The 27,326-nt window shown below is 39.0% G+C and overlaps 1 protein-coding gene across 39 annotated transcripts in view; it reads left to right on the forward strand.

The window, feature by feature from the left end:
* The window catches only part of GDA (guanine deaminase), a 145,262-nt gene that overhangs the window by 101,538 nt on the left and 16,398 nt on the right, over window positions 1-27,326 (forward strand). For all 39 annotated transcript variants that reach the window (XR_001746423.3, XR_007061376.1, XR_007061377.1 and 36 more), the window contains 6 exons: window positions 3,334-3,361; window positions 6,975-7,082; window positions 9,532-9,639; window positions 11,798-11,895; window positions 14,969-15,036; window positions 25,007-25,153. Coding sequence is in view for 29 of the 39 variants with exons in the window: in XM_017015338.2 (XP_016870827.1) it covers window positions 3,334-3,361; window positions 6,975-7,082; window positions 9,532-9,639; window positions 11,798-11,895; window positions 14,969-15,036; window positions 25,007-25,153 (557 nt within the window). In the remaining 10 variants the exon portion in view is untranslated. The remainder of the gene's footprint in view (window positions 1-3,333; window positions 3,362-6,974; window positions 7,083-9,531; window positions 9,640-11,797; window positions 11,896-14,968; window positions 15,037-25,006; window positions 25,154-27,326) is intronic.

Consider the following 27,326-nt stretch of genomic DNA (forward strand, 5'->3'; position numbering starts at 1 on the left):
CCACATCACATCATAGCTGAGGGACCCTGTGAGCATGCTCTACCTGTGGTTTTATACCCAGATGAAACTGGTCTCACTGAGCTAAAACATTGCAGAACATCCTGTTCTAGGAGAAATGGGAACAGAACCCAGGCTGTTCTGACCAGTTTCTCCATATCTCAGGGTGGTTGCATTTCCAGCACATTCTACAGTTATTCTGATAACTACAAGTAAGAAAAGGGGAAAAACTGGGTCACCAAGGCCATATGAGAACTTGTCCTGCACCAAATAGTGGAAACAACCAAAATGTTCATAACTGGTGAATGGATAAACAAAATGTGGTATACAATGGAATATTATTCAGCCATAAAAAGGAATGAAGCACTGATACATACTACAACATGGATGGTTTTTAAAAACACTGTGCTAAGACAAAGAAACCAAACACAAAAGGCCACACATTGTATGATTTAATTGATATGAAATGTATAGAAAATGCAAATTCATGGAGACAGAACACCAGCGATTGCCTGGGGCTGGAAGTAGGAAAAACTATTTTTTTTTTTTTTGAGACGGAATCTTGCTTTGTTGCCCAGGCTGGAGTGCAGTGGCACATTCTTGGCTCACTGCAAGCTCTGCCTCACAGGTTCATGCCATTCTCCTGCCTCAGCCTCCCAAGTAGCTGCGACTACAGGCGCCCGCCACCACGCCCAGCTAATTTTTTGTATTTTTAGTAGAGACAGGGTTTCACTGTGTTAGCCAGGATGCTCTCGATCTCCTGACCTCGTGATCCACCCACCTCAGCCTCCCAAAGTGCTGGGATTACAGGTGTGAGCCACCGTGCCCGGCCCAGGAATAGCTATTAACTAAATGGGCCCAAGGAATCTAACTGGGGTGATGAGAATGTTCAAAAACTAGGTTATGATGGTGGTTGTAAAACGCAATAAATCTACTAAAAATCATGGATTTGTGCACTTAAATCAGGTGAATTTTATGGTATGTAAATTATACTTCAATATAAATAGTTTTTAAAAATAGCAGTATGTGGGTGAGATTGTGTTCATGTACATTTGTGTTTTCTAGTTCACATCCACTTTAGATAAGAGTTGAGTAGAAAGTGATTAGATTTTTTTAAAAGGAAGATTTTGTACAGAATAAATAGCTGTGAGCATATTTGCAGAGACTCCAGCTCTCTGTGATTTTCTCCTGTGGTACAGTAGTGCTTCTCTTGATGCTTCTAGCATTCTTCCCCTCACTTTTCTCCCTTAATCACACATTGTTGAAGCCAAAACCAAAAAACGCCTGAGAAGCTCAAGATGTATTAACACACTGCGTCGAATTAAAGTTGAAAGATGATTAATGCACTGAGGCATTCTTCCTATTTGCCAAGGTCACTGTGTGGGTTTGTCCAACTTGAATGTCAATATTATTTTTGTGTAACAAATTATATTTAAAGCCTGCAGGAACTTGCTATAGGAGTCCTAGGGTAAATCCTCTTGTAAAATGAAGTAAATCATTTACCCTCTCCCTACCCTTTATTATAGACCAGGGCTTCTCCTGTAGATTGGATTTGCTTTTAAGTACATATGGCCTGCTCATTAAATTACTTTTGGTTGTGGGTCATACTATGGCTTGAGATTATGAATTTTCATTATGTTCTTTTTCATACAACATTGGGAGATTCTACTGACCATATAAATACTTTTCTTATATTTTAAAATGGCATTTCTATAGTACCTTAAGGATTTGACAAGAAATTGTATTGGTTTATTTATTTATTTTTATTTTCTATTTTTTATTTTTTTTTTAGATGGAGTCTTCTTCTGTAGCCCAGGCTGGAGTGCAGTGGCACGGTCTCAGCTCACTGCAGCCTCCCACTCCCGGGTTTAAACAATTATCATATCTCAGCCTCCCTAGTAGCTCGGATTACAGGCCCCTGCCACCATGCCCAGCTAATTTTTATGTTTTTAGTAGAGATGAGGTTTTGCTACATTGGCCAGGCTGATCTTGAACTCCTGACCTCAAGTGAGCCGCCTGCTTCAGCCTCCCAAAGTGCTGAGATTACAGGCGTGAGCCACTGCACCTGGCCAAAATGTAATTTTATTCTGTTCAACATCTAAGAGATACAGAAGAAAATGCTTTAGATACAAATCTTTGCCAAGACCAAACATATTCTGATGCAGGTTTTAGAAGTTCAGCTTTTTTTCTGTTCCCCAGACCCCTTTCCCCTTAAAAGTGTCCTCTGAAAAGGGAGCAGAGGGGCTGCTTACATGCTCACAGAGAGGAGGAAGTACCCGCCTTCCTTTAGCATCAGCCTATCCCAGCTTATCTATTAATCCATTTTTGTGGTGATAGTAAACCTTAATTCTCATTTTGTTCTGAAACAAAGGAATGCCAGAAGGCAGAAAACTACAGCTGCCTAGGGAGGGCAGAAAGAGCCATTTCATAGTCTTTACAGTTGCCACCATCCCTGCAGGCATAAACTGGTGGGATCACTACCATCCCATTCCCCATGCACCTCACAACCAACTCTCGCCTTTTCCTTCTGCTTTACTCCAAGGTTCATCCCCAAGAGAACTCTACCCTTGTAAATAAATGGTGATGTTGTGGGAACAAGTAGCTTCCACTTTAGGAGAATTCGAAGTAAAGAGCTTCATGGCTTCTAAAAGCCTCCAAGTGCATAGGACTTCATGACTCTAACAACCGTAGAGCATAATATATTGCAACATTTCTCCAAACGGAGCTTGAGCTAGTAGAACAGCTTGAGTGCTGTGGGAATATTTGAGAACAGCCCGACCGATGCTAGATGATAACATTACGTTTCCCTGTGATTTTGCACTCCATCTCTGGCTGCAAGTAAAAAAGCAGAGTAATTACTACTTGTTAATCTTTAATTAGTGGTGGTGGAACATGTGCAGCATTAGAAATGTTTGCATGAAAATCAGGATATGTAAGAATCATGTTTTTATCTTTTTAAAATGTTTATTTGAAAATGGTCGGCCGGTCGCGGTGGTTCACGCCTGTAATCCCAGCACTTTGGGAAGCCGAGGAGGGCGGATCACCAGGTCAGGAGATCAAGACCATCCTGGCTAACACGCTGAAACCCCGTCTCTACTAAAAATACAAAAATTAGCTGGACGTGGTGGCGGGTGCCTGTAGTCCCAGCTACTCGGGAGGCTGAGGCAGGAGAACGGCGTGAACCCGGGAGGCGGAGCTTGCAGTGAGCCGAGATCGCACCACTTCACTCCAGCCTGGGCGACAGAGCCAGACTCTGTCTGAAGAAAAAAATAATAATAAAGAAAAGAAAAAAAGAAAATGCTCAAGTTTTCTAACCCATTTGTTGCTTTATTTCAGATTTGTGTCAGAAATGCTCCAAAAGAACGTGAGTAACTTTGTTCAGAGCTCGCTTTTAGATTGCCTTTGCATTAGCTGTAGGATTCATAAAGTTGCTTGATAGTGATTAGTCTGTGTACGACTGGCTTATCTCATGCATGTAGAAGTATTTACCTAGAGCCTGATGTGTCACTGTGGACTGTCACTGTCAGCTCAGTGAAGTCAGACATTTTTAAAAAATTATCTTAAAATATTTAATTGACAAAAATTGAATCCACTCAAGGTGTACAATGTGATGATTTGATATATTTATACATTGTTTATTGATTATTAGAATCAAATTTGTTAACACATCTATTCCCACACACGCTGTACACTAGATCCTCAGAACTTGTTCATGTTATAACTGAAAATTTGTACCCTTTGACCATCATCTCCCCACATAAGCCAGCAATCCCACTTTTGGGTGTATATCCAAAAGATGCAAAATAAGCATCTTGAAAAGATATCTGCACTTCTATATTCATTGCAGTATCATTCAGAATAGCCAAGATATGGAAACAACTTAAGTGTCTGTAGACAGACAAATAAAGAAAATGCAGTGTATATGTCTATATACAAACACAATGGAATATTATTCAACCATAAAAAGGAAGGAAATCATGCCATTTGTGACAATGTGGATGAACCTACAGCCCATTACAATAAGTGAAATAAGCCAGCCCCAGAAAGACAATACTGCATGATCTCACTTATTTGTGAAATCTAAAAAAAGTCAAACTTATAGAAACAGAGGTCAGGCATTTTTTGCTTTCTTGGGGGCAGCTCTGTACCTAGCCCTCTGTGTTTTGTTTTAAATACATTTTGAAATAATGAAATATTAATGATTTTAGTGGATTTGTTTAGATATCGTTCACATATGTACAAACATCAAACTTGCTTTATTCTTAAAATTGTGTGTACTTTTCTTGGCTCCCAAACCCCATGCCTACATGCAACAGAAAAACTAAATTTCGTCAGGCAGGTAAACTTCGTCTTAAGTTCACTAAGCTTTTAGTTGATCCAATTTTTATTAGGACAATCTCAGTCACTGCTCAGGTTAGAGTTACCGTCTCAGGGTAGGTTTTTCTTCCTCAGTGGTTTTCCTTACCCCCCTCTGGGATCTTCTGATTTCACAGGATTGGTTTCTGGCAAGCAGGGACAGGGCTTGATGGGCGTGGGCTGACTGGTGGCACCTGGAAGTTGGGGACTGCTTGGTGGCCACCTCAACATTGGCTCTGGCCACTTGTGCCCTTGGTCTGCTCTGTAACACAGGCAGTGTCTAGTCCTATGCCCCTGCCACTGGCTGTCTTGGTCCCTATGTGTGTGACACCTCACATGGCCTGCAGGCATGCAGCAGGCACCCCCTATTGTGGTCCCCTGGTGTTGGTGAGCCTGTGGAGACAATGCTGTTTCCTGCCTCCACCCCTAACAGGCTGGCATGTGGCTCTGTCAAGCAATCTCTTAGACTGGCAAGCCTGACCCTTCCCTGATCATCTTTTGGGGCCTGATAGGAAATCATAAGAAATCTCAAAATTTCTTTCCATCTAACTTTGGGAGATTTAGATGAAACTTTGTAGATCCTTATCCTCACTACCCCTCTATGAGTCCTTCTCTCCTGCCTGGCCACTCACCTCAGGTGCCACCAGAGCCAATCCTACAACTGAATAGTGCTCAGGAAGGCTGTAACCAGCACACCTGGACAAGATGTATTCCCAAAATGGAATCGGCTATCACCTCACTTTTAGTCTCCCCAGCACTCTTTTAAAACTTCAGCCTCCACTTTTCTTCATAAAGGCTACCCAGTCTAGCCTTCATCAGAGCCTTAATGTGGTGGCAGAGGAGCATCTGTCATTTGGGATAGGATCTTTTGTTGAACTTGGGTGCTGAAGAAGATACCCTCCTTTATTCTCCACTTTGAGCTGTTTTCATGAAACCCCGTACTTCCACCGACTGTTAGAATGGAGGACTGCTCCCCAAAATGAAGACACAAAATCATCTTGCTGTATGATATGCATTTTGGGGTACCCTTCACATTCATGATATCCATAGTTTCCTTTTTTTGAAAAAACTTTTAAGTTCAGGGGTACATATGCAGGTTTGTTTACACAAGTAAATGTGTGTCATAGGGGTTTGTTGTGCAGATTATTTCATCACCCAGGTATTAAGCCTACTACCCATTAGTTATTTTTCCTGATGCTCTCCCTCCTTCCATCCTCTACCTGCCGATAGGCCCCAGTGTTTGTTGTTCCCCTCTATGGGTCCATGTGTTCTCATCAGTTAGCTCCTACTTATAAGTGAGAACATGCAATATTTGACTTTCCCTTCCTGCGTTAGTTTGCTAAGAATAATGGCCTTCAGCTTCATCCATGTCCCTGCAAATGGCATGATCTCATTCTCTTTTTATGGCTGCATAGTATTCCATGGTGTATATGTACCACATTTTCTTTATCCAGTCTATCATTGATGGGCATTTAGGTTGATTCCATGCCTTTGCTATTGTGAATAGTGCTACAGTGAGTGTATGTGTGCATGTGTCTTTATAACAGAATGATTTATTTCCTTTTGGTATATACCCTGTAATGGGATTGTTGAGTCAAATGGTATTTCTGTCTCTAGGTATTTGCAGAATCACCACATTGTCTTTCACAATGGTTGAAGTAATTTACACTCTTACCAACAGTCTATAAGCATTTCTTTTTCTCCACAACCTCACCAGTATCTGCTATTTTTCTGACTTTTTAATAATATCCATTCTGACTGGTATGAGATGGTATCTTATTACAGTTTTGATTTGTATTTCTCTAATGATCAGTGATGTTGAGCTTTTTTTTCATGTGATTGTTGGCTGCATCAATCATATGTAAAACAGTGAAAAGTGTCTGTTCATGTGCTTTGCCCACTTTTTAATTGGGTTGTTTTTTTCTTATAAATTTGTCTAAGTTCCTTATAGATGCTGGATATTAGACTTTTGTCAGATGCATAGTTTGCAGAAACTTTCTCCCATTCTGTTGGTTGTCTGTTTACTCTGTTGGTGGTTTCACTTGCTGTGCAGAAGCTCTTTAGTTTAATTACATCCCATTTATCAATTTTTACTTTTGTTGCAATTGCTTCTGGTGTCTTTGTCATGAAATCTTTTCCCATGCCTATGTCCTGAATGGTATTGCCTAGGTTGTCTTCCAAGGTTGTTTTTTTGTTGTTGTTTGGTTGGTTTTTTGTTTTTTTTTGAGACTGAGTTTCTCTTTTGTTGTCTAGACTGGAGTGCAATGGTGAGATCTCGGCTCACCACAACCTCCGCCTCCTAGGTTCAAGCAGTTCCCTTGCCTCAGCCTCCCGAGTAGCTGGGATTACAGGCATGCGCCACCACGCCCAGCTAATTTTGTATTTTTTAGCAGAGACAGGGTTTCTCCATGTTGGTCAGGCTGGTCTCGAACTCCCGGCCCTCAGGTGATCCACCTGCCTTGGCCTCTCAAAGTGCTGGGATTACAGGTGTGAGCCACCACACCTGGCCCTTCCAGGGTTTTTATAGTTTTCGGTTTTACATTTATGTCTTTAATCCATCTTGAGTTAATTTTTGTATATGATGTAAGGAAGAGGTATCAATTGTTTTTAATTATCTCCAGTATTCTAGAGTGAAGCCCATAGTGACACCACGTTTTTCCCTCTCCTGCTCTGAGACTTTGATGGGTGAACTGGGCAACATTGCTAAAACCCGTGATTTGCACATTCAGGTGGGTATTCTTCTTCTCTTTATGCCTCTATGCAGACCTGCAAGATTTCTCAGCACCCTTAAATCATCATTTCCAATAATCTGTAGTTGTTTTACTGAGTAATCTGTTTCTTCAACTGAGATATCCTAGAGTCACAGCATAACAGGAGAGAAAGGACCCCTGTAGATATCACCTAATCCAATTCTTTCATTTTGCAGATAAGAAACCTGAAGTTCCTTATACCCTCAATGTTTTCTGATCAGTCTTCTAAAGACAAGAAAATCGTTTTAAGTAGTGGCAAGATCAATAACAGACTGTGATCTGTTCTCTGTAGGATACATTTAATGCATTTATTTCCTACTTCTCTTTCACTTGATACTTTCTCAGTGTGTTCTGTACCTTCATTCTTAGAGAAACCAGCTATTATTTGAAAAGCAAAAAGAGCCTAATTTCCACCTTACAAAATAGCATTTAAAATCCCTTTTGTTCTGAGTTTCTTAATTTAAAATCAGAACAAAAAAGTATACCTTGCTTTGTCATTAAATTGTTGCAATTTAGGAATAAAACACTTTTTTAAAGCTTATATCTGGGTTAAAATTGAGAGTTCCCCTTCTCCCATCCAAGCTTAATTACATACTGTACTAAAATTTCTCCTCTTAGGAGTTGACGGTCTTATAAGAAAGGTCAGATCAGGGCAGAGACAACACATTGATTCTTTACCATTTGTAAATCAGTGTTTTTTTGGTTTTTGTTTCCCAAATCTATTTTCTTAGGAACCATTAACCGCTCTCACCTTCCCTATTATTGTTATTATTATTTGCAGCCTATAATTTTTGAATTTTTAATTCAGTCCCACACATTTCTCTGCTGGAGATAAAATTCAAAACTTACCTGATGTTTCTGCTTTGCAAACAAAATGCTTCTGTCGCCGACAAAATAAAATACACATGAACATTTAAAAATACATGAAAAATAAGATGAGAAGAACACACAACAAAATCAAGTTTATCCTTGCTAGAGAGATGCATGTGGATGTATGCACATTTACTCACATTTATCCAAATGACTCGAATCATCAGATTGTCCTTTCTTCTGTTGCTGTCCATGCATTTCATCGGTGGTCTGGGACTTCCTCAAGGCCAGGGATGGAGTTCATTGTCTGAGTAAAACACGTGTTTTCAGAACATTGCTATTTTTTTCTTTTAAAAATTTAGCTACGCATATTCTAAATGGCATTGCCATTCTTGGAAGTATTAATTATGCCCTCTTAGATTTTGTGGTGCCCTAGAGAAAGGTCTTAGGGGCCTTTTTCAGTGTGGGGGCATAGGACTTATTGTTTTGCTTGCATGTGGATTCTTATGGGCTGTTTCTTGATGACCGTGGAATTTTCTAGCTCAGCTATTTTCAAACTCTTTTTTGGAGAACTCATTCTGGAAACTAACAAAGGGCACAGAATGGAGACAGGGTCCCAGAGTCTCAATCCTGCTGCATCCGGAGGGGCAGTGCTTTTATGCCTTCTATATATTGGGTTTCTGTGAATTTTTATATGAATAATATATTCAGTGCCGAGAGAATTTGGAAAATCACTCATCTAGCCCAACCCTTTTTTTTTTTTTTTTTTGAAAGATGGGAAAATTGCTGTCCAAAGAAAAGAATGACTTTCTCTAGGACACATAGCTGTCAGAACTTGGGCCAAACCCAGCTCTCTTTACTCAAATTCCAGTGTTCATATAAGTGAACCCCACTGTCTGCTTTTTTATGAACACTGAGCTCTTTTCTTAAACGGCCAGTATGGCCAGTCACGGTGGCTCACGCCTGTAATCCCAGCACTTTGAGAGGCTGAGCCCGGCAGATTACTTGAGGTCAGGAGTTTGAGACCAGCCTGGCCAACATGGTGAAACCCCATCTCTACTAAATATACAAAATTAGCCAGGCATGGTGACACATGCCTGTAATCCCAGCTACTCAGGAGGCTAAGACAGGAGACTCACTTGAACCTGGGAGGCAGAGGTTGCAGTGAGTGGAGATTGTGCCACTACACTCCAGCCTGGGCGACAGAGCCAGACCCTATCTCAAAACAAAAGAAAGGCCAGCACCAGAAGAGGCAGGTTGCTAGGGTCCTGACTATCTTCAAGGAGGACTTCATATTTGTTCCAGCTGGAGGTCAGAATTTGAAAAGACTTTGTTGGAAAAATTTGTCTTGATATTATACATACACATACACACCCACACCCACATCCACACACACACACTACATGTTCATAATATTCAGTTTCTTTGTCATATACATTATATTATCTATGATGAATATAATTGTTTCTAACAAAATGCATGTGTAATCTTCATTGCCTTTCTATGTGGTCCCTTAAATAGGCAAGTAGAAAACCATTCACACCATTTTGAGGTAGGAAGTGTAATTTCTAATGGTATTTTACAGAAGAAAAATGAAAATATTATTTTTTTCTTGTAGAGCCATATAAGTGAAAATCGTGATGAAGTTGAAGCTGTGAAAAACTTATACCCCAGTTATAAAAACTACACATCTGTGTATGATAAAAACAATCTTTTGACAAATAAGGTAAGTTTTATATCATGACATAATCTGTTTAAAGGAGGGCATATTTATCTCAATTTTAAAATCTCAATAGTAATCTTCAGATTTCTGATATGAATACATTTCTTTAAAAATTTTTTTTAAAGTTTTAATTTTTGTGGGTACACAGAAAGTTTATATATCTATGGGGTACATGTGTATACATTTCTTAAATTAGAGTAAAGCCTAGTGTGTGTGTGTGTGTGTGTGTGTGTGCGTGTGTGTGTGTGTGTGTAGTTAAAAATGGACCCGAAGTTTCATCTTAGTGAATTAAATGTAAAGGCTTCATTGAAGATGGGAATGTCATTTGGTCCAAGGACATTTTAACAGTATCTATTAGAATGTAAACCTACATTTCTTTGAGTCAGCAGATGCATTTCTAAGAATTCACTCTAAGTAATATGAATAGGGATGCTAATTTTATATTAAAGTTTAAAAATTGTTATCGGTGAGGGATTAAATTACAGAGCATACATAGGATTTTATCCAGCATTCACAAAGAAAGAGGTATGCAGGCTTACAAGGAAGAATGTTTGTGTAATATTATTTGATGTGTATGTACATATGTATAGATGCATGCTTACTTAGAAAAAAACTGTCTGAAAGACACAACTTGAGTATTAAAAATGACTCTTCCTGAGGGACAAACCAGAAGGACTTTCTGCTTTTTATTTTTAAATACTCTGAGAGTGCTTTTAAAAAATGAGTATGCATTACTCCTATAATTAAAATTAATATGTGTGAAGAGACCTCATTACAATAATGTACTACTTGGCCTTGGCCTTCAATGAAATGTACAAACCGCATGGAGAGTTTACCATAGCAAATAATTTCTTAGTGACTGTGTGAATGGAGATATGAATATAACTGATTTAAAAGGTTAATACTTTGCATAAATCATGTAAAAGCTACACCATAGTTTTCATTCTTTATATATTTTCCATATGATTAATAAATTAACCTTCCATTTGCATGTTAATTTTATTTGAACAGAGATTGGGAAAGTTATATTTTAATAATAATTCTGTAGTCACTGGGCCGGGCCTGGTGGCTCATGTCTGTAATCCCAGCACTTTGGGAGGCAGAGGCAGGCAGATCACGAGGTCAGGAGATCGAGACCATCCTGGCTAACACGGTGAAACCCCGTCTCTACTAAAAATACAAAAAAATTAGCCAGGCGTGGTGGCAGGCGCCTGTAGTCCCAGCTACTCGGGAAGCTGAGATAGGAGAATGGCGTGAACCCAGGAGGCGGAGCTTGCAGAGAGTCGAGATTGCGCCACTGCACTCCAGCCTGGGCGACAGAGTGAGACTCTGTCTCAGAAAAATAATAATTCTGTAGTCACTGAACCGTGCCTCTCAAAGGGGAAAGCAAGTTGGGTACAGGTTTTGTACTGAGAGAAAAATAATTTTGAAAGAGTAAAGTCTTATTTAAGAAAATCTACAAATAAATACTACCAACATTAAAAATTTAGAGAGGTCTCATGTGTGTGCAGTGCCTGCTTTCTTGGATCAATTTTACTTTCTGAATTAATGATTATAAGATGTTAAATTTCCTAGTTTTTATGAAAATATAAACGTAGGTGAGTTAAAAGTTTATTTAGTTGAAAATATCAAGGCCATTGGCACTTACATTGAAGCTAGGAGCAGAAATAAAGAACAGCGCTTTGCAGGATTACTCTCACAGCTTTCACATACTGAGAAGGGACTTTTAGTTCTAGAAAGTTTTTTTAGAATTGGAGCAAGCACAACACTACCAGTTGCTTCCCATATAAACTTAGAAAAGAAAGTAACTTGACAGTCTTCTAAAGTAGAGATGAGAAAATCATGTTATCTTCCATCTGGATGGATATTCTGTGCTGTAGATCACCTGGACCAAACCCTCATTACTTTATAGATCAACAAAAAGAATCTAAGTAAACTCCACAAATTTCCTGAGACTTTCGTAAGACAATGTGTTTACAGGCCTTTTCTAAGGTATAACTTGTACCTAGCAACTTTGTACATATAGATCATCATAAATGTTCTTGTGAAGATGCTAACAGCCAAGCTACAGCTTCGGTCTCTCTCTAAAATACCTTGTGAGTGAGTACCCACTTAATCATTTGTGAGCGGTAAACTCCACGTAGGGCACTCTTCTCTCCAGACAGTGATGGCACACGGCTGCTACCTCTCTGCAGAAGAACTGAACGTATTCCATGAACGAGGAGCATCCATCGCACACTGTCCCAATTCTAATTTATCGTAAGTAGACAATGATTGTTTGGTAGATTACGAATGATTGGGTTGCAGATTAGCAGCCAAATGCCTTTGTTTCCTCTGTCATTCCTCCAGGATCTCCCCTCTATTCTGTGTTTGGCAGGACCCAGATAGATAGACATTTACTCGTGCTGTTGAGGAGTAAAAGAGAACACGTAAGAGGACATTTATCTCAGAGGACACGTGAAGAGCACAGCATCTTCTGAAATCTCTGAGTTTGTACAAAAAAAGGACAATAGGGAATACAACATAAAAAATTTACAGTGAAAGTACTGAAAGAACCCATATGTCAGCCAGGAAATCCAGAAGAGGGTAGTCACTCCCATTACTGTTTGTGCTGTAGTGTGAGAAGGAAACACAGCAATACCAAAGCAAATGCACTATGATGTATGTTACCCTGTTGGACCTGACGGAATGCCAGCCCACACAGGCAAGCCCAGGAGGACCTTGTCCTATTATAATTCCCCAGAATACAGAGGTGTTATTTATTAACTGGTTCTTAACCTTTTGAAAGGTGATGGATCCGTAAATGAATAAAATGAAAGTTATTGCCTGGGCGCAGTGGCTCACATCTGTAATCCTAGCACTTTGGGAAGCAGAGGCAGGCAGATCACTTGAGGTCAGGAGTTCAAGACCACCCTGACCAACATGGTGAAACCCCATCAGTATTAAACATATAAAAATTAGCTGGGCATGGTGGCAGGCACCTGTAATCCCAACCACTCAGGAGGCTGAGGCAAGAGAATCGTTTGAACCCGGGAGGCGGAGGTTGCAGTGAGCCAAGATTGCACCACTGCACTCCAGCCTGGGTGACAGAGTGAGACTCTGTCTCAGAAAAATAAATAAGTTATAGCCTGTAATTTCAGGGGAAAAAAGCCCATGGATATTACAAGTGTTGCATCTAATTTCAGGGAATTCATAGATCTCATGATGCCAGTCCATGGATGCTAGGTTAAAAACCCATGCTTGTGGCTGTAATCTCAGAAAACAACTTCAGGGGTCGGGCGTGGTGGCTCACACCTCTAATCCCAGCACTTTGGGAGGCCAAGGTGGGCGGATCACGAGGTCAGGAGATCGAGACCATCCCGGCTAACACGGTGAAACCCAGTCTCTACTAAAAAAAAAAAAAAAAAAAAAAAAAAAATATTAGCCGGGCATGGTGGCGGGCGCCTGTAGTCCCAGCTACTCGTGAGGCTGAGGCAGGAGAATGGCATGAACCCGAGAGGCGGAGCTTGCAGTGAGCCGAGATCGCGCCACTGCACTCCAACCTGGGCGACAGAGCAAGACTCCATCTCAAAAACAAAACAAAACAAACAAACAAACAAACAAAACCTTCAGGGAAGTAAAACAGGGAAGGGAAAGAAGTCAGTGAAGATCGTATCATCACGGAAGTTACCACTGTGGGCTCCCGGAGTTTAATCCTTCTATTTAATAGAAAACTCAGGTAACCAGTGTCCAAAACAGAACTCAAAGTTATCCTGCCCAAGAAGTGAGGGAGCTGGCTGTGACAGTAATACCCAAATGCTTATGGGTTGTTGTTGAGGGCTCCTGGGCAGAGTGGAGAAGAGTATTAATTCCCTGGAACTTCTGGCCGTCCCCAAACAAGGGCAGAGCAGGCTCTAGCACAGGAGAGAGCTGAGAAAGCTCCTAGGCAAAGAGCTGGAGGCATTCACAGTTGGAAATCTAGGGACTTTGCAAATTACAAAGATATATGTCAGTGTCATTATGGGAAGGGTGCTGAGAGCCACAGTGACATATTTCTGGAGTGCTTTAGGGACCCCAGAGGTTCTGAGTTTTCAGACTTAAAGGAGTGACACAGGGAATCTTGTCTATGTACAGCTTAGTGACTATAATTAGGGTCTAGTTACTTGATAGTGGAAGGATTTAACACCCATTGGGTGTTAATATCCTCTAAATTAAAGCATAATCTAGCTTTGCAAATTGAGTTTTGAAGTTAAATTTCTTTAGGACACATTTCTGTTTAAATGGTCACTGCTGTTCTTTCTCCAGCAACTGAGAGATTTATTATGTATGCACCAGGGCTTTCAAAATTAGAGTTATGTGCATCTTCCAGCAAACCACTTTGACCTTTGCAACTTTTTAGAATTCTAAGGATCACCTTAGTTTTCCTTTGTCTCTTTAGAAAGGCAGCACATGGTGGGCATGGTGGCTCATGCCTGCAGTCCCAGCACTTTGGGAGGCCAAAGTGGGAGGATCACCTGAGGTCAAGAGTTCGAGACCAGCCTGACCAACATGGCGAAACCCTGTTTCTACTAAAAGTAGAGACTGGACATGCTGGCGGGCACCTGTAATCCCAGCTACTCGGGAGGCTGATGTAGGAGAATCGCTTGAACCTACCTTGAAGGAGATGGTTGCAGTGAGCTGAGATTGTGCCATTGTACTCCAGCCTGGATGACAGAGACAGACTCTGTCTCAAAAAAAAAAAATATATATATATATATATATGGCTGGCACATCTCTTTAGCTCAGAGTCACAAGGTCCCAAATTCAGCCCAGGAACCATCTATCCTACTTTCTCTGTCTTCAGAGGCAGCGTTTGAACAGTCAGGTCCTGACTTTTTAGGCTGCACCCCTTTTTCTAGTTGTACTCCCCTTTTTCGATCTTAAAGTCACTACTCATTCAGGGTAACAAATTATTCCAGGCAGAGAGAATAGGTAATGCTTTATAATTTCTGCTTCCTAACATAAAAAGATGTGTTGGTTAGAAAATATTAAAGACAGATAAAAGACTTTTGTATTAATTGCAAAGTTTGATTTCTTCATTTTTTTCCCATACAAACGATCCCCTGCTTTTCCTTCTGGCTCTTGCTGCTTTGTGCCCACCTGAGATTAACCTTGGCCCAAGGATTAGGCTATTTTATGATCCTGTTTACTCCAGGACTTGGATGGTCTGATTTGACTAATATGTTTGTGTCAACATTAGAGCCGATATATTGGGAAGCACAATTTTCAGTGGCATCACCGTCATTGTTATTAGTGTTCATCTTTTATTGGAACCACATGGATCTCCTTGTTCTGACATCTCCTCTCTCTACAGGCTCAGCAGTGGATTTCTAAATGTGCTAGAAGTCCTGAAACATGAAGTCAAGATAGGGCTGGGTACAGGTTAGTAGTTCACCATTTGGAGCTATGGCAAAGTGGTTGATTACTGTGTAATTTTCTAATGTGACTAATTTGCAGGTGACTGTTCTGTTTAAAAAAAAAAAAAATTAGTTTTGGGCCGGGCACGGTAGCTCACGTCTGTAATCCCAGCACTTTGGGAGGCTGAGGCGGGTGGATCATGAGGTCAGGAGTTCAAGACCAGCCTGGGAAACCTCGTCTCTACTAAAATACAAAAAAATAGCCAGGTGTGGCAGTGTGCGCCTGTAGTCTCAGCTACTCGGGAGGCTGAGGCAGGAGAATGGTGTGAACCCGGGAGGCGGAGCTTGTAGTGAGCTGAGACTGCGCCACTGCACTTCAGCGTGGGTGACAGAGCGAGACTCTGTCTCAAAAAAAAAAAAAGGAAATTGTATGCAAAGGGAGAAGTTTTGATGATACTGACCTCCTGAAAGCTGTTATCCCTGTTTATTATTCAAAGATTAGGCTATAAAGGATGATTAATTCCTTCTGACGTGTTTCAGAGGTATTCTAAAAAGTCCTTGACTTTTGTTTTGTTTTGTTCTTCTGGCTAGGTTTTAATGGTTTGGATTTCTATATTTTTAGTTTTCAATAACTGTCATTACAAATGCTGTCTCAAAAGAAATTTTTTTGTCCTTGCCATAGTGAGCACAGATTCAATCTATGACAGAATTGAGAATTCGGATGTATGTTAAGAATTGGTTTTGCTTTTAAGCAACGTTTAGCCAAATGAGACCTCTCCATATCCACAGGCAGTCTGCTTGTCTACTAGGCTGAGGGATGTTCTAAGTGCATATGAATTAGTGACGGATTAGTGATGTTTCCTTTCTTCACAGTACATTTTAATTGTGTTTCTTGAGAGTGTGCAAGCGTTGCTTGCTTCGAAAGTGTGAGTCAGGCCCAAATTTCTAGGTGTCCTCTGTGAGGCTTCTTTTATGACTGAATGACTGAATTAAAAATTTTTTTAATGGGTATGGGGCAGGAGGACGTGTTTTCTGTTCTTGATGCCTTTATCTTCCTCATATTTAAGAGCATCAGGCTGTATGCATGTTGACACTGGTGGTTTTCATCACTTTCTGCAGGAACTCAAGTCTCAGTTTGTTATAGTGAGACATTTTACAAAGTAATTAACTGGTAAGACACAATAATACGCATAATGATTTTACTGATATTTTGAAAGAGGTATATATTAGATTAGAAGTTTTTCCCTATTTTATGGGAATCAAAGTAATCAAGATTTTGAAAATTCTAATTTAAGCCTGAAATCATCAAGATTGTGATAATTCTACATAAAGTCACAGGTGTTAAAGGAGGAAACCAGTGATTTTATGTTCACAAAAAAGCTTCAAGGGATAAGAAAAAAATGGCCAAGAGTTTTGGTTACACACTATAGTCAGTTAATATGAAAAATTTAGCAGACACATAAAAATCAGTCAGATATTGTTTTCAGATATTCTAGGATTTTGGTCTCCATAATTTAAGTTCATCACATGACTTCCTTTTCTTGACTTTGGATTGTTTAGTGATGGTCTATAAAGTTCAAGTTGAGTTCTAGCTGTCACTTATTATCTGTAAGACCTTGAGAAAATTAATTTTCTAGTAGTTTTTAGTCAAGGATTCATTTCCTGATTTCTACAACAATAGTAACTAGCAATTACAACTATGTCTATCTTACAAGCTGTTTAGAGAATTAAACTTTAAAATGCATGCAAATTGGTTAGCACAGTGCCTGCCTGGCACATGACACAAATCAATCAAGATTGGCTTAAAAAGGAAAGGGCGAAGTTGGTGTATTGACCAAACGTTTGAATAAATATGACCTATTAGCTTATTTACTCAGAGGATGGTGTTTCATTTTTACCTAGTCCTTTTTGCAATTTAGTCACCCTCTACTCTACTATTTCCTAAACGTGACTTTTGTGTATCAATTTACCCTTCAATTTGTAAACTTTAGAAGATTATTATACCTCATACTATGAATAGAGAGCAAGTCCAAGAGCAATTCACACACCCTGTCTATAACAAGTGCAGGCAGATCTTGACTTGCACAAATATTAGGTAGAAGAAACCCACATGAAATTTAACAGAAATATAGCAAAACAAGATAAAGTGATATCACAAACAATAAGAATGTGAACAAATATCTGAAAATGATCTGCTTTAGGATCCAGAAGAAAATTTCAGAAAATTGCCTTCATCCCTGGAGTACAGGAAATCATGGTTCTATGAAAAGATTGTGGTAGAAATTTTAGAAATCAAGGAAGAAAACTGAAAAAAATCAGATTAAAAAGCACATAGACTCTCATACACTGATGGAAGGAGAGTGGATGGTACAACTACTTTGGAGAATGTTTTGGGAGTTTCTTCTAAAGTTAAATATACGTCTACATATGACCCAGCAATTTTACTCTTGGGTATTTACCCTAGAGAAATAAACATATATGTTTGCAGAAATAGTTGTATGAGGCCCAGGTGCAGTGGCTCATACCTGTAATCCCACCACCCTGGAAGGCCACGGCAGGAGGATTGCTTGAGCTCAGGTGTTTGAGATCAGCCTTGGCAACATGGCAAAACCCTGTCTTTACAAAAAATACAAAACTTAGCTGGGCATGGTGACATGCACTTGTAATCCCAGCTACTTGGGTGGCTGAGGCAGGAGGATCGCTTGAGCTTGGGAGGTCAAGGCTGCAGTGAGCCATGTTCATGCCACTGCACTCCAGTCTGGGTGACAGAGTGAGACCCTGTCCCTAAATTAATAAATAAATGAAAGAATTGTATGAGGATGTTTATATCAGCTTTATTTATAATAGCCCCAAACCAGAAACAATCCAAACATCTATCAGCAGGAGGATGGATAAGCAAGTTGAGGTATATTCATATAATGAAATATTATTTAGCAGTAAAAAACACACTACAGATATATGCAAAATGTGGGTAAATATATGCCAGTGTGTGGGCTTAAAGAGCACACACTGCATGATTCCATCTGTATGAAACTCACAGACCAACAGAACTAACTGATATTGGTAGAAATCAGAAAGTGGTTGCCAAATGTTGTAGGTAAGAATTTGGGGAATTGACAGGAAAAGGCCATGAGGGAATTTGCTGGGGTGATGGAAATGTTTAATATCTTAGTTTTTTTGCAAAATAGTTAATGCTATATAATTGTTAACATTCTCCAAACTGAACATCTAAGTTATATATGTATTATGATATTTTAGTTATACCTCAGTTAAAAAAATGACAAACCCACCAACCCTGTAGGAAGCTATGAGAAGCAGAATTATTGTTACAGAAAATCAAATCAGTGATGTGAGAATAAAATCAACCAAAGATGATAGAAGGTGTTTGAGGATGATCGATGTGAAGCCCAGAAACCACAGAGCCAACACATGGGGTTTTTTTCTGATGGAGCACCCAGAACAAATGGGACAGATGCAATAGTCAGAGCTTTGAAGGGTAAATCTTTTCTGAGCTTAAGAAAGAACTGCCTTGCAAGTGCTTACCCTGTTTTACGCTAAATCGTAACTGAACATGTTGTGACAAAATATTTTAATTACAATAAAAAAATTTCTACAATATTGACACAAGGAAAAAAGTCAATTATCAACAAAACAATTAAAAACCAGTTTGCTTTCAGATGTTTTTGTTGGCACACAAAATACCAAAAGGCAAGAAAAGAGTTTGGAGACAAAGCAGTGTTAGCCAAGAATAATATATCTGGCCAAATTCTCCTTTATGTAGGAAGGCAACAAAATTCTCAGCTATACAAAAACTTGGAAAATATTTTCCTTAGGAACCCTTTGAAAAACTTACTTGAAAATCTACATCATTCAATGAAAGATGAGGCAAATGAAGGGCCATGGGGGGAAATAATGGCACAATATGATGTCATGGAAAGCTAACATCAATCAGAATAAGAAGATCAAAGAATTGTAAAGGAGTTTAAAAAATGAAAGTAAAAGCCAAAAATATATCTCAAGAGAGAATAGGCACAATGTTAAAAACCTATCAGAATGGTAACATAAATCAGGAAGATGTTTCCCTCAGGCTGGAAAGAGGTTCCTGGGACCGAAATACATGGCACTTATTTTAAAAACTGAGTGTTAGGTCCTTGAGTTTTGGTTTTATGCTTTCCTTATGTCATTTGAATGTCTTCAGTATTTTATCACAAAATTTTAAAAAATAATATATGCTCTGCCAAGGAAGAATTTTCCAAGTATAATACATAATTCTGTCTTATAATTTTATTAACAAAACCCAAGAAGTTGTAGTTTATGTGTAAGGCTGAGAGGAGGATGTATTTGGCAAGTGGCCAACATGGTGAAACACATTTCTACTAAAAATACAAAAATTAGCTGGGTGTGGTAGCATGTGCCTGTAGTCCCAGCTACATGGGAGGCTGAGGCAGTAGAATTGCTTGAACCCAGGAGGTGAAGGTTGCAGTGAGCCGAGATTGCACCACTGCACTCCAGCCTGGGTGACAGAGAGAGACTCAAAAAAAAAAAAATTCCTTGTCTCAGAAAAAAGAGAATTGCACATATTTTACTTTTGACTTTTCAGTATAAAAATATTAGAGATAACTACTTGAAGAATTTTAAAGATAGGATACCTCCTATGTGAAATATGAAAAAAACCATAAAAACAAAGAAAACATAGCAAATAACCAAAAACACTCATCTGAAGGAAAAATTTAAACATATAGAACAAGTTTACTAAACAAGACCTATAAACTCATTAAAACAAGCAACATACATGGAGCCAGTGCCTCACTTTTCAGTGACAATTCCCTATCCTAACTTACTTCTTCCATTATTCCAAAAACAACAGCTCTTTGATCTCTTGTAGACTCTAGTCCAATGACTCCATGCTTTCTCAAAATCCATTATTCTAATTCGAATTCTTAGATGTCAGAGTACATCACTATAATCATTTCCTTGGAAACATTCTCGCTTTTCATATTCCCCTCATTTTCTTTGTATTCACATTGCAAAAGCTCCACCCTTGATTATCTCAAAAGTCCCCTTCTCAGTGCCTGCAGTGGAGCATCTGGAGGTTGCTGGAGAAAATCCTCCAGTGGGCTTTCATTTTAAATTTTGTTCTCAAATCCCAAATGGCCCACCGCTTGGGGATTAGAGACAGTTATTAGTCTGTAATAAGCGTATATCTCCTTTTTCCAAGACAGCGTTTTCTCATTTCTTCTTAAACTTTCTACCCCAACTTCTAGTTTAAGGCCTCCCTCATATCATAAGTTATTGAGAAATAGAAACGACCAGAAATCCTTCCCTCAATCTCCCACCACGAAATTCACACACCTTTCTGCATCTGCTGGGATTTTCTCTTCTTTGCCCTGTTGCAGCAAAAACAACAACAACAAAACCCTTCTTCCAATCAAAGGCAAAAATACCAAAATACCCCGACGTGTGTTCTGTATTCTTTCCCTCTCCCAGCATCTCAATAAACTAATTCCTTTGGCCATAGACCGTCCTGTATCATCAGTGTCTCCTTCCTGCTGGATCATTCCTGCTGGTACACAAACATCTCTAGTATCTTCTTTTAAGCAAAGAAACAAAACCACTCCTATTTTTTTTTTTTTTTTTTTTTGAGATGGAGTATCATTCTGTCTCCCAAGCTGGAGTGCAGTGGCACGATCTCAGCCCTCTGCAACCTCAGCCTCCAGGGTTCAAGTGATTCTCCTGCCTCAGCCTCCCGAGTAGCTGAGATTACAGGCGTGCACCACCACATCCAGCTAATTTTTGTATTTTTAGTAGAGACAGGGTTTCAACATGTTGGTCAGTCTGGTCTTGAACTCCTGACCTCAGGTAATCCACCTGCCTTGGCCTCCCACAGTGCTGGGATTGCAGGCATAAGCCACCACGCCTGGCACAAAACCCCTTCTTAATCAGACATCCCCCTCATGCTCCTGCTCCACCTGTCTGCCTCCCTTCATGGCAAAGCTTCTTCAAAGAGTGGGGATCCACACTGGCACCACTTTCTAGGCCCTTTTCCCTTCCTCCACCAACTTCAGTCTGGATTCTTGCCCCACCCTCCGTGACAACTGCTTTTGCTTTTTTCTCCTGTGGGTATTACCACTGGAATTTCTGCTGCCAACTCCAAAGGATGCCATTCTGTCCTCATCCAATGGGACTTGTCAGCAGTATTTGCCATGATTGACTGTTCTCTCCATTGTCCAAGTAATCTTATCTTGAATCCTATGAAGCACCTTCGTTCTTCCCTTCTTTCTCTTCTCTGAAGGCTGATTCTCTTCCTCTGGGCCATTTGAAAGCTTGCTTCAAGGGTCAGTCTTTGGCAGTCTCTTTGACTTTACACATTCTTCTTAGGAGGTGCCATCCACAACCATGGCTTCATGTGATTTAATATACTCAGATGACACACAGGTTCTTATATCCAGCCCAGACTTCTCTGAATTCTAAACCTATGTTTTCAACTGACTACATTCTCCCTTCTCTTAGACCCCTCCTGAAGGAACCCCCGAACTTCATTCTATCCCAAAACACATTTAAACCTAGTTCTCTAAAATAGCTCTCCTTTTTAGAGAATTCATTTTTGCTAACTGGAAACTTGATCATTATCTTTGGGACCTTCTTCTCCCTCACTTCTTCCCCAGCACAATGCCCAACCTCATGACTCCTTAGTATCTCCTTGAACCATCCCCTTTCCCCTCATTGGTCACTACCACCTGATGCAAGCTGCCATCGTTTCCTGCTGAACTGCTGCACCAGCTTCCTAATGGGTCTCATACCATCCTAGGCCCTTCCAGTCCATTGTGATTTACAAAAGAATCACAATGAAAATCTGATCATGTCACCCCCTTGTGCTCGTCACCCTTCAATGCGATTTTGAGTGTGTAAGGCTCATTACAAGGCCCACAAAGCTCTGCAATGGTTTGACACCCATCCACTGCCCAGCCTCATCTCACACTACTCTCTCCTCCTCACCCTGGCTATCTTTTATGAATAGATATGGCTTTTATGAATAACCTGACTATCCTCTCTATAAATCATACTCCCTTCTCTCAAAAGTCCTGTATGCATTGTTTCTCTGTCTGAATGCCCTTTTGGCCTCTGTTTATATGGCTGAGTTCTTCTCATCCTTGTTGTAGTTTAAATGTCATTGCCTTAAAGAGGTCTTCCCTCACCATCCTATCAAAATGGGCCCTTCATCTCCATTTTCTTTATCACTAAAGTGAAAACAACTTATTGTTAATATATGTCTGTTTATATGATTCTTTTCTTTCTCCCCAACAAGATAGTTAACTTGCTCATGTGGGAAGCCCATAGGTTTTATTTACAAGTGCTTAAGTAAATCAAGCACATGCAAGGAGTGTAGTAAATGATTGCTGAATAAGTGAATGAATGCATAGGAAATGAGCACATACCTATGAAATCATTTTTTAATCTTTCCATTGTCCTCTGGCTTAAGTTTTTGCTCTTGCATAATTTTGTTAGAGTCTTCTTGTAAATAATAGTGTCCAAATGTTGGCTCTGACGAGCAAGTAATGATACCATCTTCATTGTGATGGTCCTGGGGGAGTAGTGGGGTAAGGGGGCAGATCTTCTGAGAAAATGCTTCAATTTTCCTTCCTCCTCCACACAGTTTCCACCCTTTGGTCCTCATTCTTCAGCACTTCAGTTATGTAACTGAATTTTCTCTGCAATTATTAAGATATGTGATGTTATTTCTATTTTCTGAGAAAATTGAGATTCACAGGTCCTAAGTAACTGATCAAAGGTCCGCAAAGCAAAAAGTTCCATGCGCACAGTTTAAAACCAGGTCTGTAAAATGTAGATATTCGTGATTTCTCTTTCTATCCTACCACAGTGCCTCTAGCCATATGACAAAGTAGGGATTCCACCTACATTAAATGTGTTGTAGATGGAAGGGGAAAACTACAAAGCTAATCCAGTCGGGAAGAATCGGCAAGTTACTGTCACAGTGGAAATCCCTGGAAAAAAAGGCTTGACTCTTACTAAATACCATGAAATTATGCAGCCCAGAGTTCTTTCTTTGATGAGCACAAAATTGTTTTTTGGTTTACAGTTATTTTACTGACATAACATTGGCAACCAGAAGAATATAGGATGATTAAATCAACATCATAAGGCATCTCTCAATTTTTTTCCAGTAAATTGCATAGCATTATTTCCTAATTTATACTTATTCTTTCTGTAAGGTTAATTTTGAGTAGGTATTTAGGAAAATGCTACTTTCTGTTATATTTTATACCTTATTTTTAAAACTGCAGGTATTTAAGTCTTCCATATTCATACCATCCCAACTGCATTGCTTTCATTTCTCTATGTTTACTTCCAGTCGTTACCCATATATTATAAAATATAGTTAGTCTTTACATATTTTATACCACATAGTGATATAATTTTTATTCCACCTTTATTTATATTTAACATTTTTGTTGTTTTAGCAATAAAGAAGGAAGCAGCAGACAGACTATTTCAAAGCTTAATGTGTGTAGTTCCCAAATTGTATTTGTTTTCTTAGTATTTGTTTTCCTAGCTATGATAAAAATGAAGATTTAAGGGATGGTTACTACATATTAACACAGACTAGTAACTTAAGTAGATGTAATGAAATTTTTTAGAGAGCTGGGTGATTCTCTAATTTAAATACAAGTTTAAGGACATGTAGGATAGTTGAACATAAAATTGAGCTACAATCTAGAATTACTACTAAATAGGCAATTATTTTGTTTTGGCAACATATATAGAGGCACTAACAATTACATATGTCTACCTAGAAATGACAGAAGGAACACTTGAAATATGAAGCTTACTTTATTAGCTATAAGTGTGTTTTTCTTTAATAAAACATACTAACTTACTTGAAATTTATTTATACAAACTCACTTAACTCCATGTTCATTCTTGTTAAAGGTAGTATTTCATTTGATTATGATTAGGGACTTTATTTAAATCACTAAAATTTCATTCTTCATTTAATGATGCCTACCAAAATATAGAGCTGTCTACATTAGCACTGCTCATTTATTACACTAATTTCCCAAAATATACAAGTTTATTCTAAAAGCTCTTCATAAAAATTACAAAGAAGTGGCTTTTTAATTTCCCAAAGTTCTCATCTGGATTAGAACAAGGTTAGGATAAATTTTTAGTGAATAGAACCATGAGCTTATTTTAAACCACATATTATCTAAATTATCTTTATAACTATGCAGGCATATTTCAACAATTTCTGTGAGAGTTCATGGACTCTTCAGAGATAAGAGTTTCTTTTGGCTCTTTAAACCATTTGAGTATTGTGGTGGGTTGAATTGTGGGTCCCTAAAAGATGTCTATCAGAATCTGTAAATGTGACCTCATTTGGAATAAAGGTCTTTGTAGATATAATTAAGGAAGAGATCTCAAGATGAGATTATTCTAAAATAGAGTGGGTCCTAAATCCAGTGATCAATACCCTTAGAAGAGACAGGAAAAGAGAGACAAATAGAAGACACAGGGAGAAGAGAAGAAGGCTATTTGAGGATGGAGGCAGAGATTGGAGTGATGCTGCCACAAGCCAAAGAATGCCAGGAGCCACCAGGAGCCACCAGAAGCTGGGAGAAGCAAAGGAGAATTCTCCCTTAGAGCTCTTGTGGGGATCATGGCCCTGCCAACACTTTAATTTCAGACTTCTGACCTCCACATTGTGAGAGAATAAATTTCTGCTGTTTTAAGCTAGAAAATTTGTGATAATTAGTTGCAGCAGCTGTAGGAAACTAATACAAGTATGCATTTGACACTAATTACAGATTTTGAATTGCTTTAAATCTTAGTCTACGACTATCTTGTGTTTATAGTTAAGAGCTTTTTAAAAAAAGTATATTAAGGACTGAATATCTGTCATAAAAACAATGTTATATATGTATTATTCCATTTATCCTCACAAGGTTACTGTTTTGGTTTTATTTTACCTACTGCAGACGTGGCTGGTGGCTATTCATATTCCATGCTTGATGCAATCAGAAGAGCAGTGATGGTTTCCAATATCCTTTTAATTAATAAGGTAAATGAGAAAAGCCTCACCCTCAAAGAAGTCTTCAGACTAGCTACTCTTGGAGGAAGCCAAGGTAATGACTCTTACATTTTTCTCTCACACAATATACAACCATGCTGATCGGTGTCTTTGGATGTAGTATGAAGATGCATGATTGGTATTAGGAAAATCCAATATTTGTGATGATCACATCTCATGTAACATACCCAGAACTCAGCCAGTAAAGTGAAGTTCACTGAAGGAGGAATCATTCCTTAGTGAATTCACTGTCTTTGGTAGAATAGATGTCTGAGACACAGTTATCATATTAATTGTTTTAATGGGTATTACATTGGTTACATGGATATGAGTGCTTTAAAATAATCCATTCTTAGGCCAGGTACCTAAGAATCACAGTAACTTACGTCTGTAATCCCAGCACTTTGGGAAGCTGAGGCAGGCAGATTGCTTGAGCCCAGGAGTTTGAGACCAGCCTGGGCAATGTGACAAAACCCCGTCTCTACAAAAAAATACAAAAATTAGCTGGGCTTGGTGAAGTGTCCCTGTAGTTCTGGCTACTTGGGAGGCTGAGGTGGGAGGATCATCTGAACCCGGGGAGGTAGAGGCTGCAGTGAGCAGTGATTGTGCCACTACACTTCAGCGTGGGCAACAGAGTGAGACCTTGTCTCCAAATAAATAAATTAAAGAATCCATTTTTCCACTAAGTCAAGTAACTTGCTCTCCAGTGGCCTAAGTGATGATCATAATAGTAAAATAGTAGCCAAGGCTTACTTAAGCTCTTCCCCTGTGATAAGAATCATACCACATACTTTATATGTGTTGTTATTTAATCCTCACCACCACTGTTATTCATTTCGTTTTACAAACAAGAAGCCTGAGTGAGGCTTACACAGCTGTCAAGCCACAGTGTGCTATGATTTGAATCCACCTAATCTGATGCCAGCATGCAGATTTCTTACCTTCTGCCCTTCCACTACAGTATCTTCCTGTATAAATCCCTGCCAAGACCATGCATTTGGTTCATATACTTAAGTACACTAATTACTCTTTAAAAGGATAAAGATGTAAAAATTTAGTTGGTTGATATGCAAATATTGCTCATCAACTTTTCCCAATTCTCACGTGTAACTGTATTGTTACGGAAAAAAATAAAAATTGGTCACTGTATTTCTTTAAGTCACTTTAGAATTATACATGTAATCAGAATGGATGATAGTGAAACACAGCATGAAACCATAGGTAGCTAGTGAGAAATTAAAATGTAGATATAGATTTAGAAACATATTGGGTGTAGATTTATGATAGATACCCTGAGTCTTACAAATGAAGGATGACCGAAGCCAAGATTATCCTGGGAAGAGAAACTTCTCAGATGTTCTCTGAGTGTTGGGGACTATGATGAACACCATAAGCACATTTCAAGAAAAGCAAATACAATGTTGTTTTTTGTTTTTGTTTTGTTTTGTTTTGTGATTTCCCAAAGTATTATGGTTCATTTTCCAAAATCCCAAGTTTCAAATCACCCACTATTTTAATAATTGTTACAACCTTTCACCCACACCACCATTGTCTTTTCACATCTGAATCTGAGTTTGAGTAGTTATTCTACCATCTATGTTTGTGGTACAAACGAGTTGTATTTAAAGAGTGCTTTTTGAATTCTAGGGCTCTCTGTAAGTTACTTCATCAGGATCCTGTTTCTTTGATCAAGTCAGCATGGGTGCCTACCAAATCATTTCTACTTTGCTGTGTAGCTTTTAAATCTATTTTCTGGGTCACTGGGCTTACTCATGGAATTTCTTTTCCTTAGTTTGTTTCTCTACTATAGTCAGAGTAAAATGAGATGAATGGATCTGTATTTAAAGTGTGGCATTTTCCCAGAACTGCCATGGCCTTTACATTCATTCTCAAGAAGATCAAGATGAGCAGAAATGATCTTCACAGAACCAACATTTACTCCAAAGGCATCAAAACTCTATTTCCTGAAATGCATTTGAGTCACTTACCAGCCCAGTGGGATCTCTGTGCAACAATTTGAATTTATATCAGTTTACAAATTCACTGAAAAGAATTGTGTCTTTTTTGGTTAGTTCATTCCTGAAGTCTCCAGGCTCTACTGAATAACCCAGTTGGTTTATATATACCATCAAACTTGCCTAAACCCTAGTCACTGCACCTGGTTATCTGGCCTATTAAATGCACAGTCAGTAATTCAGTTTAATTCAGTTGAATTCAGTCATTAAAAA

The sequence above is a fragment of the Homo sapiens genome, chromosome 9 (genome assembly GCF_000001405.40).
Source record: "Homo sapiens chromosome 9, GRCh38.p14 Primary Assembly".
Lineage (NCBI taxonomy): Eukaryota > Metazoa > Chordata > Mammalia > Primates > Hominidae > Homo > Homo sapiens.